Here is a 12,638-nt window from a genome sequence, read left to right on the forward strand (position 1 = left end):
GAGGTCAGGAGATTGAGACCATCCTGGCTAACATGATGAAACCCCGTCTCTACTAAAAATACAAAAAATTAGCCAGGCGTGGCAGCCGGCGCCTGTAATCCCAGCTACTCGGAGGCTGAGGCAGGAGAATGGCGTGAACCCAGGAGGCAGAGCTTGCAGTGAGCCAAGATTGCGCCACTGCACTCCAGCCTGGGCAACAGAGCGAGACTCTGTCTCAAAAAAAAAAAAAAGGAAAAAAGAACAATTGCCTAGATGTGGAGTCTACAGCCTCAAAGATACAGGATATTCAAGGAAATTCAGATAATTACAAACCTAAAAGGTTAGAAAAAACAAAACTTAAGAAACTACTTACAGGGTGCAGTGCACCAGCATGGCACATGTATACATATGTAACTAACCTGCACATTGTGCACATGTACCCTAAAACTTAAAGTATAATAATAAAAAAAATAAAAAGAAACTACTTACAAACAGTAATCATACCTGCTTTGTTAAAGTCTATGAAGTGAAGAGAGAAGAAACACAATGGCAGGCCTTACAAACAAACAGAACTAACGCATGCCAAAACTTAAAAGAAACTATTATATAAATTCAACATAAAATTCTAGTGGCCAAAAACAATAGAAACGATTATGGTTATAAAATCAGCAAGATTCCCAGCAAGATTACCAGTGACAGAGAAAAGCTGACAAAAAAGATAGATAAAATCATATGGAAAATTTTTAGCACACTCAAAACAAAAACAGAGTACAGGCTATACACAGGAAGAAAACTTCCTGACAGTAAGTATTCTGAGCATAGTTAACAAACTAAAGATTTTATGGAATTTCCTACCCTGGAGGTTCTTAAAATATTAGATTCCTATCTATCAAGAATAGTTCACATACACTCCTTCACAAGAAGTGTGGAGACCAGATGATACATGAAAGATCCTATGATTTTACATTAGCTTATGATGGTACAAAGGCAAAAAGAATAAATAGTCTTTCCCACCTACATCCATATCACTAATGATTTCCTCTTTGAACTTCAGAAAGTATAATATTAATTCATTTTTTAAAAAACATTTCAACAGTTTATATATTTTTTTAAGAGCTCAAATTCTTGTAGAACTATTCACCTCTCAGTACTCCTGCATTTCAGAATTTTCCTGGATATTCATGTATATCTCTTTTGCCAGATACACTTTTGTGCAAAGTAAAATTTATTTTTCTCAGTAGGATTGTATCATATATAAACTATAGTGAAATGACAACAGTAACAATAAGAGGGGAGGGGCTCATCACAATCCAGAGTTGTTACAATATATTATGTAAAATATCTATTATACATATGTTAAATATGTTAAAAGGAACTCATGTTTTAAAGTTTTTTAATTATGAAAAACTGCAATCAACAAATAAGAGATCTTCAACAAAGATGCAGAAATTATGTAAAAGAACCAAATGGAAATCCTGAAGTTTAAGAATACAGTAACAGAAATAAAAAATTCATCAGAAGGGCTCAACAGATTTATGGCAAAAGAAAATCAGTGACCTTTAAGATACATCAATAGAAACCATCCACTCTGAAAAACAGAGTAGAAAAAGATGGAAGTAAAATGAACAGAGCCTCAAAGACGTATGGAACAACATTCAGCTTACCAACATTTTGAGTACCAGGAAAGAAGAGAAAGAGCAGAAAAAAAAAATTAATAAAATATTGGCCAAAAACTTGCCAAACTTACTTTTACTTTTTTTTTGAGACAGAGTCTCACTCAGTTGCCCAGGCTGGAGTGCGATAGTACAATCTTGGCTCAGTGCAACCTCTGCCTCCCCGGTTCAAGCGATTCTCCTGCCTCAGCCTCCCGAGTAGCTGGGATTACAGGAACCCTCCATCATGCCTGGCTAATTTTTGTATTTTTGTAGAGACAGGGTTTCACCATGTTAGCCAAGCTGGTCTCGAACTCCTGACCTCAGGTGATCTGACCATCTTGGCCTCCCAAATCCCCACCTGTGCTGGGATTATAGGTATGAGCCACCACACCTGGCCCCAAATTTAATTTTTCTAAGGAAAATAAATCTACAGATCTAAGAAGCACAATGAATTTCAAGTAGGAAAATATAAAGCAACCTACACCTGGACACAACATAGTCAAACTTGTTGAAAGCAAACCCAAGGAGAAAAATCTTGAAAGCAGGAAGAGAATAATGATTCAGCATATGCAGAGATTAGTGGCTAACTTCCAGTTAGAAACAATAGAGGCAAGAAAGACAGGGAAATCACATATTCAAAAAGCTGAAAGATACAGCTGTCAACCAAGAAGACAGCAAAACTATCCTTCAAAAATGAAAAAATATTCCCAGATAACCAAATATTGAGAAAATTTTTTTTGCTAGTAGACCTGCCTTAAACAAACACTAAAGGAAGCCCATTAAGCTGAAAGGAAAACACATCAGACTTAAATCCACAGAAAGAATTGAAGAGCATCAGAAATGGCAAATATGTGGATTAATTCAAAAAACACTCCATAAACATATTTTTCTCATTTCTTCCTCCCTTTAAAAGACCTAAGAATGTATAAAGCAATGATCACGACACTGTACTACTGGGTTTATAATATATACAGATGTATATTACAATAGCAGTACAATAAAGAAGAGAAAATGGACCTACATTGGAAGAAAGTTTATCTTACTGATAATAAGCAGCCTGTTAAAATGCATAATCCTGACAGCAACCACAAAGAAAATATCTTTAAAAATATAGTTAAAAAAATCAATGGAGTAATTAAAATGGCACACTAAAAAGTATTTAACACAAAAGGCAATAGAGGAAACAAAGGAACAAAAACATAGGTGATATCTACCTGTATCTATGCAAAGATACATATATATATAAAGGATCATATCATATATAAACCATAGTGAAATGACACTATATATATGAGTATATATATATATACTTGCTTTATATATGTATATATATCTTTTTATATATGTATATAAATATACATATTTATATGTATATATACATATAAAGATATATATATCTTTATATACATACATCAAGATATCTTTTTATATATGTAAAGATATATATCTTTTTATATATGTATACAGATATATATGTATATAAAGATATATATATATATAGTGTGTGTGTGTAGCAGATACCAAAATGGCAAATGTAAATCCAACCATATCCCTAATTAAATATGAATGGTCTAAATAGTCCAGTGGAAAGGCAGCGACTGTCGGAAAGGATAAAAACACAAATTCCAACTATATGCTGTCAACAAGACATATCCTACATTCAAAACTGAAAGTAAAAGGATGGGAAAAAAAGGATATACTATAGAAGCAGTAACTGTAAGAGACAGAATGGCTATATTAACATCAGACAAAACAGACTTTAAGACTATAGAGACAAAGAAAGATATTTCGTAATAATAAACAGTCAAAACATCAGGAAGATATAATAACCGTGTATGCACCTAAAAAGAGTCCCAAAATAATGAAGCAGTAACTAACATTATTGAAAGGAAAAATTAAAAATTCAACAATTATATTTGGAGATCTCAATGTCCCACTCTAAATAAGTGACAGAATAATTAGACAGAAAATTAGCAAAGACAGAGAAGACCTGAACCACACTATCAACCAACTATACCTAAGTGGCATATATAGAAAACACTACCAAACAATACTAGAATACATACAGTTTTAAAACATTCTCTAGGACAGGCCACACGCGGGGCCATAAAATAAGTCTCACTAAACTTAAATGGATTGAAGTCATAAAAATATGTTGTCTGAGCCGCACAACGTGGCCCATGCCTGTAACCCCAGCACTTCGGGAGCCTGAGGTGGATGGATTGCTTAAGCCCTGGAGTTCAAGACCAGCCTGGGCAACACAGCAAGACCCTGTCTTACAAACAAATACATTTATATGTTCTCTAACCATACCAGAATTGAATTTGATATCAACTAAAAAACTGGGAAATCCACAAACATTTGGAAATTAAACTTCAAACTTCTAAATAACAAAGACAAAATGTAAAGGGAAATTAGAAAATATTTTTAACTAATGAAAATGAAAACAAATATCAAAATTTACAGGATGCAGCAAACGCAATACTTAAAATATACAGCTTTAAATATATATTTGAAGAAGAGTCTCATATGTATCCTCCTATCAAAAAATGTAACTGATTCAAATACTCATTCTTCCATACAGTTTCAAATTTTTTTTTAAGTAATATGCTCTCAGGCATTTTATCTTTGTAGTTGTCATTATGAATGTATACCTATTCTTCCATCATGAGTCCCAATACCTATTATTTATATTTTAAAAGATAATTATTTATGTATATTTCTTTTTCTTCCTAAAGACACCTGGCCAAACTAATTTAAGAAAAAAAAGAAAAAGAAGCAAAAGTCAAAGTATAAGTTAGAGACTCATGTCATTCAGAGATGCTACAACCTGGAGCGAAAAGTGAGCCCTATAATCAATGATAAAGACCTTTAAATCTAACACAGAACTGTTCTTCACTGCCCACCTCAGCCATGGAAGATGAGATTACTATATTCAACAATAAAAAATGAAAACTTCTATTGGGCAAAATAATAAAATCAAAAGATGAGCAAAAGTAATTTGTCTAATAAATGACAAGAGGCTCACAAAGAAATGGTAAATATTTGAAGTGATGAAAATACTCTAATTAGCCAGATTTGATCATTACACAATGTAAGCATGTATCAAAATATATAAAGTGTTTATTTTGAATATACAGTAATTTTAATAGTGTGTAAAATTTAAATATACACTATGTATGTTACCATAAATATACACTATGTATGTGTCAAGCAAAAATAAAAAACATTATACCCTCATAAGTATATACAACTGTCAATTGGAAAACTTAAAAAAAAAATGACAAGAGGCTCCTTTCCTTAATATACAAGTATATAAAGAGCTCCATAAAAGGGCAAAGCACATGACCAAATTGGTAACTGAAAACACACATTATGGCCAATAATAATGGAGAAAATCCTCAAACTCACTCATAAGAAAAGAAAAGCTAATCAACAAAAAACTGACAAATATTAAAAAGTTTGACACTAGCTAGTGTTGTCAAAGAGATAGAGAGATCCCCTCTCTCATAGACTACTGATATTTGGCCTTCTTTTTAGAGTTAGGCAATTTATCCACCAAATTGTTAAATGTACATAATCTTTGGTCCAATAATTTTTCCCTTCGGAATTTATACTACTGATATATATATATATATATATATCTGTACATGTATAGAAATTGTCTGGAAGGATATACAATGATTATACTGAATGGGGAAGGGTTGGAAAGCCTTTCTTCGATGTTATAACATTCTCTATTGCCTAAGTGTATACACCTATCATAATAAACATGAGTAAAGAAGTGAAAAATGTTGAACATGACAATTATCAGAAGATATGGAAAAACACATATATATCTGTAGTATAAATATATGTATAGATATATATATCTGTAGTATATACATATGAATGTATATTTATATGTATATGTATATATGTATATTCATACTACAGATATATATATAATTTTTTATATATATATAAAATTTTACATATATAAAATTTTTTTTTTTTTTTTTTAAAGACAGAGTCTCGCTCTGTCGCCCAGGCTGGAGTGCAGTGGTGGCATCTTGGCTCAACGCAACCTCCGCCTCCTGGGTTTAAGCGATTCTTCTGCCTCAGCCTCCCGAGTAGCTGGGGTAACAGGCACCCACCTGTCTGGCTAATTTTTGTATTTTTAGTATAGCTGGGGTTTCACCATGTTGGCCAAGCTAGTCTCGAACTCCTGACCTCAAGTGATCCACCTGCCTTGGCCTCCCAAAGTGCTGGGATTACAGGCATGAGCGATCGCGCCTAGCCAGATATATTTTTAAATATGTGCAAAGGTGTACCCAAGAATATTCACTACATCATCATTTATAATAGCAAAAAAAAAAGCCTAAATATCCATAAGTAGATGACTAATTAGACAAATTATGATATGTCCAAATATCAGAATACTATGCAGCATAAAGTGAAAAGGAATGATTTGCAAAAATGTGGAAGTTTATTTTTTAATATTACTGAATAATATGGTGTGATCTCATTTGTGTAAAAAAATGTGTAAATATAAGCACACATATAAATACTTGTATATGTATAGAAATTGTCTGGAAGGATATACAATGATTATACTGAATGGGGAAGGGTTGGAAAGCCTTTTTTCGATGTTATAACATTCTCTATTGCCTAAGTGTATACACCTATTATAATAAACGTGGGTAAAGAAGTGAAAAATGTTGAACATGACAATTATCAGAAGATATGGTAAAAACAGGAAAATCCTAAAATATGGCTTCTGAAACTCCAAATAATTTCAATCCACAAGGTGAAAAAGAATTCTCAGGCTGAGCGCAGTGGCTCAGGTCTATAATCCCAGCACTTTGGGAGGCCAAGGCGGATGGATTGCTTGAGCTCAGGAGTTCAAGACCCGCCTGGGCAACATGGCAAAACCCTATCTCAAGAAAAAACACAAAAGTTAGCCAGGTGTGGTGGCATGTGCCTGTGGTCCCAGCTACTTGAGAGGCCTGAGGTGGGTGGATCACTTGAGCCCCGCAGGTAGAGGGTGCAGTGAGCCAAGATCACACCACTGCACTCCAGCCTGGGCAACAGGGCAAAACCCTATCTCAAAAAAAAAAAAAAAAAAAAAAAAATTCTCAAAAAACAAATTTTAAAATGCACAGAGAAATTTTAGAATTTTTATGATCAGGCCGGGTACAGTGGCTCACACCTGTAATCCTAGCACTTTGGGAGGCTGAGGCAAGAGGACTACTTGAGTTCAGGGGTTGAGGACCAGCCTGGGCAACATAGTCGAGACCCTGTCTCTATTAAAAAATTAAAAATTAAAAATACAACAAACAGAAGAATTTTTATGATCATTAATAACTGACATGAGTATGTGCCACTGACATATATGTAAACTCCTTGAAAACTGTTAGATATCTTCTTTCATGTTGTGTGAAAGATAAAAGCATAGGTTTAATATATGCACCAACATAGGCCAACAAGAAAGGAGAGGATCATTTGCCTTCCTAACATAAAGGAAATGAGGCCTAAAAGATATGCAAGTAATCTTAAGAGAAGATAATTGACTTCATCTTATAAAATTAATAATGTTCTTTTCTATGTACATATGTCCATATCTACATATTATTTATAATATTTATAATAGTGATACCATGTTATTTATATGAATATAAAAAGAAAAGGGATTGGCCATAAATGCACACTTATACCCAACAGTTATTGTAAGTATGTGTAGTAACATGGGCATCCATTACAGGTAAAAATTAAAGATTGACTCAAAGAATGCTGAATTACCTCCATTAAATACGTTAGGCAAACGCCCATCCCGCCAGATCACGTGCTTGAATTTCCAAGCTGCTGATTCCTCCCTCTATCCTACAAAAGTACACAAATACAGGTTAACCCCCAAAAGAATCAGGATTAAACATAGTCTTAAAGAAGTCAGGTAAAACTGTTACATTTAAGTGTCCTAAGTCTACCAAAATTCTTTCCATGGTAGATACTGTTAGAGTAAATAAAATTAGTAACAACTAACACTTAGTCTGAGTGCAATGAGCCATCAAATGCTAAATGATATCACAACAATGACTCACATACAAATTGGACTTTTTCAAACTTAACTTCCAGTGAAGGATTAAGATTTCTTTGAAGTCAGGACAATAAACTTGACTATCATCTTAAATATCATAACATAGGAAGGAAAGCACAAATGTGTTTCACTAAAATCATATTTTGATACTCTCCAACACTCATATAGCACTATTTCTTGATAAACTCTTACAGTAACATTTCCCTCAGCTGAAAAAATCTAAATATATTAAGGATGCAGTTTTTGAAAACACAAACAGCATTTTAAAAGTTCAAAGCAAAAGGTATTTAATAATGCTAAAATGGTCCATCGATATTTTTTAAACATCATGCTATAACTAACCTTTTAGCAGAGACTAACACAGAAAATTAACATTCCACATTGGTACTGCATTGATGCCGACCACAGATCACTTTATTCATGTAACTGGGATTTTTCTGAGGTATATTAAATGAAAGTAATGAAGACTGAAAGTTGAATTATCAGAAATAAAGAACAAGCCAAATATAATTTTATTCAGAAACAATAGATAAAGCATTTTATGTAACAGTCCTAATACAAGTTTAGGGATCCATAAATACCTTGCACATCAATAAAAGCCATAAATGTAAAAGCAGAATATTTTCTAGAAATTGATAATCTCTAGAAAATAACCAAGTACATCAATTCAAGGCTGTATTTACATATGCTTTATCAAGGACTACAAACAGTACAGTCTTTCTGATAATTTAGCATTTTCCAGTATTTAGCTAGTCAGTAGCTTTGTTATTGAGGTAGTTACAAACAAAAAAAATCTATTTTAAAATACTTGATTTCTACTAAGCTCCTAATTGCTTGCCTCAATGTTTTGCAGCCAAGCATTCAAAAGCATATACATGTCATTCCTCTCAATTATGCAAAGTTATTTTAAGTACATACTCCTATAGCAATAGTACCAAAAGGATAATAAAAGCTATAAAACTATACTACTGTTAGACACTATTAAAAATGGGTAAAGTAAAGCTAAATTATGTTAAATTAAATTAGGTTTAAAGTTGCTTCTCTAGGTAGCCAATTAAACCTAACTTACTATGTAAACAAACTGCTACCTAATTTAAGAGTATATTTTTGTAACAAGTAGCTGAGTCTCAGCAAATCACAGTAGCCAAGCCTCAACCAATTACAGACTGCCACCTGATAAGACCATGTCCGTATAAGGCAAATGCCAAGCGGTAACCAATCAAGCTATTTCTGCTTGTCACTTGCTTTTTCTGTGTATAAATACTGCCTGCCTATGTTGCTGGGTGGAGCTCTCCAAACCTCTCCTGGTTCAGAGTGCTGCCTGATTCATGAATAGTTCTTTGCACAGATACACTCTGCTAAATTTAATTTGTCTAAAATTCTTCTTTTAACAACTGTTTCTGCATTGCACTGCTTGTTCACTATTCTATTAGAATATTATATATTCTGTACACATATTGCTACATACATTACTATATTCAACTTTTAGAATTGCTAATTACAAGAATAAAATTGAATAGAAAAGGACACTGCAAAGCCTATAGACAGGGAAAAAAATGTCTTCACATTATGCATTTTAACATTGTGAGTCTTTAAAAGTTGATGTGATGTATCTAATCCACAATCAGGATATTATTACACATCTCATCATGAGCTAGTAACATCTATAGACTGGACAAATGTTTTTGAAATCTTAACATTCCGTTGAAAACATTTTCACAAAAAGCATACTCACCTTCTTGCATCACATTTTATTGAAAGCACTAAATTACTGCAGCTACACATCACAGAATATAACTTAGATATGTAAAAAGAAAACAAAAATAAAATAGTGAAGCAAGAAGGAAAAGGAAACGTGCATACACACAAAATAATATAACCTCAAAGTATAAATTTATAAACAGAAATTCTGGAATGTCTTTCCCACACAACCACTCCTCTACCATGTAAACCCACAATTTCCCCCAAGTCACCTGTCACATAGTCTGTCTCTGGAACCCTAATTCATTTAGCATCATCTACTAATTTCATTTCTTCAAGCCTCTATCCCCCTTTCTTCTCTTCCACTCCTCTCAACCAAGAAGGGGGGAAGAGAACCTACTAAGATGGAAACGGAAACCATGCAAATACAAAAAGACAGATAGAAAATTACTTGGACAACCACCCAAGTCAGTTCAGATCTTCCTCTTTCCTTGCCCTACTCCCCCACTTCAGCAGTCAGTGAATATTCCTCCTTAGCAATTCTTTTAACATTTTTCTGGCTAAATAATCTTTGATTATAAACACTTGGGCAGATATAAACAGATTAAGACTAAAAATATACAGATATTCCTTGACTTATGATGAGGTTATGTCCCAATAGGTCACAAGTTTATGCCTATAGCTAAACGCCTATGCCTTCTGCATCATCATAAAGTCAAAATATCCTAAATCAAACCACTGTTAAGTAGGGAACTATTGTATTTTAAGGTAGGAGTTTTATTGTATCTATGCTATCAATCAAGGTAGTATTTGTTTCCTATCAACCAATGACAGCAAATGTTAATAGATACACAATAATATACATAAAGACTTTTCATTTTACATGGTACAAACTTGTATACCTATATAATATTTAAGGAAATTTTCTACTAATACCAATTTGAATAATTATGGCACAGAAATAAAATGCACAAGTATTTTGCAGAAGTCATTAGCTACCACCCTTCCGCTATTTAGTTTTGATAGACTGGCAATGTTCCAATATACTTACTAGCAGGTGGTCCAATTTATTAATTAAGCCAACATTTTTGTCATTAACTCAGTCAACATTTTTTATCACATGATATATTTTTACAACACATTAAGATTCCTAAGACATAATAAAATACCCTGGTCTCTGTCCAAAGGCATTCATAATTTAGCAAGGATGATAAGCACATACAGAGTAAATGTTTGTGATAATAATGTGATATAATTGAAGCATAAGAAATTTATCATAGAAAAATCAAAGCAGGGAGCAATTAACTCTCCCTTTGCTACCTTTTCAAAAGAAAAGGAAGAAGGTGATCTCTTAATGTTGATTCCACATGTAAGAATATATGCAATATGTAAGCAATGAATATATGCTTTGGACTCTGCTCAGTAGTGTTCCTAGGACACTACAGGTATTAAATCACTTAATCAAAACAACAAACCTATGAGATAGTATTGTTATTATTCACATTTTACAGATGACAAAACTAAAAGGTTATATAATTTCCCAAAGAATACAAAAGTAGTAAGAGGCAGACCCGAACTCCTTATAAGGGTCTACAAGGCCTTACATGCACTCCTGTGCTTATCCCCCACCCATCAACGACCACCTCCACCACCACCCACCCTCATCTTTCAGACCTCATTTTCTAGCCTCTCCCCTTGTTCACTCCACTCCAGCAGCAGTGACCTGACCTCCTTATTGTCGCAGAATCTCCAGCATACAGCAGAATCTACTGCACTGGCTGTTCCTCTGTCTGGAACACTCTTCCTTGAGAGATCCTCGTAACTAAATCCTTTAGCTACTACAAGTCTAGCTAAAGTCTTGTTAATGAGGCCTCTTCCAGTCACACCATTTGAAATTGCAACATCCCACCACATACACTCAATCCCCCTTTTATTGTTATACATTTTGCACTGTACTGCCCACCTCCTAACATATTACACAACCAACTTATTCATGTTTTTTTCTGCCCTAACTATAAGCTCCACAAGAGAAGAAATTTTTGTCTGTTTTATCCACTGACATATCCCAGTGCCTAAAACAGTGCCTTACACATAAGAGACTCAGTATTTTTTTAATTATTAGTAAAGCTGGAATTTCCTCCCAGGAAATCAGGCTCTAGAAGCTTAACCACCATACAACACTCTCTTTCTAATTATGGAATCACAGATAACAAAACAAAGGCATGTAGAAAAGTCACCCAAGGTCACATAAACCTAATAAAATGGCGAAACTTGGTCTCAAAACCAGCCTAAATGGGGTTTGGCAACATTACCTTACCTAGAATTTCCAGAAAAAGACTTGACTGTCTTAACAATAAAGAGATTCAACCTATTGATAAGTCCACTATAAACTTTATGAAACACTGTATCAAATGCACCATGGTAATTCTTAGCAACATAAATAGGTTAGTCCAATCTAACTTAATTTCCATTCTGTGTTTAAAAATAATGCTAGTAACAAATTTCAGAAGTACTCCTTCAGAAAAGCTACAAAAACTGCATGCATGTTGCAACAGATAGGAAGAGCTTCTTTCGTATTTTCAAATATTTCACATTTCATGTTTTCAAATATTTCACATTTCATGTAGACAGTTTCTACTGATACAGTATTTTCAAAGTATATCTTTACGTTGTTTGCAGAGTATACTTTTAGCCCACCAAATTATGTTTTAACTGTCATCTTTGCCTAGAAAAGTAAGATTGCTAAAGATGAAGTTTTATGAATTAACGTAGCAAGATCCAGATAAGAGATGTGTTAGAAGAAACTCCCACAAAAATTCTGTCAAGAATATAAATTTCTGAAGCAATAAATAAAACCTTAATGTTACTCCTAAGTATGATCATCCTTTGAAAAGCCATTCATTGATAAAGAACATAGTTCTTGGTTAATTAAGGTAATCTTTCTAGAAAATCATTTTTAAAGTTTCAATGAAACGTGTAATGCTTACACATTAACTGTTTATGCTCCCATGAGCACTACCAAATAAAAAGGCTACCTCTGCCCTTTAAATCAAAAGCCCAAAGCAATGAAAGGATAAATTACAGCACACATGGCATAAGAATCTGAAACTAAAAATGCTTACAGTCCTTTAGCATCTTTTAACTAGAGCACATTTTACACATTATACATTTACACATTAGTCAAGTTATATTTTTAAATTAGTTCTTACTTTTATGATTTAATGAGC

At 33.4% G+C, this 12,638-nt stretch overlaps 1 protein-coding gene across 13 annotated transcripts in view; it reads right to left on the reverse strand.

The window, feature by feature from the left end:
• Window positions 1-12,638, reverse strand: part of ZNF148 (zinc finger protein 148) — a 149,686-nt gene that overhangs the window by 98,074 nt on the left and 38,974 nt on the right. For 9 of the 13 annotated variants that reach the window (NM_001348430.2, NM_001348434.2, NM_001348425.2 and 6 more), the window contains one exon: window positions 7,416-7,496. The exons of 2 other annotated variants lie outside the window; for them this stretch is intronic. The gene's annotated coding sequence lies outside the window, so the exon portion shown is untranslated. The remainder of the gene's footprint in view (window positions 1-7,415; window positions 7,497-12,638) is intronic. 2 more of the 13 variants (NM_001348428.2, NM_001348429.2) reach the window with 1 other exon arrangement.

Source organism: Homo sapiens, chromosome 3 (assembly GCF_000001405.40).
Source record: "Homo sapiens chromosome 3, GRCh38.p14 Primary Assembly".
Lineage (NCBI taxonomy): Eukaryota > Metazoa > Chordata > Mammalia > Primates > Hominidae > Homo > Homo sapiens.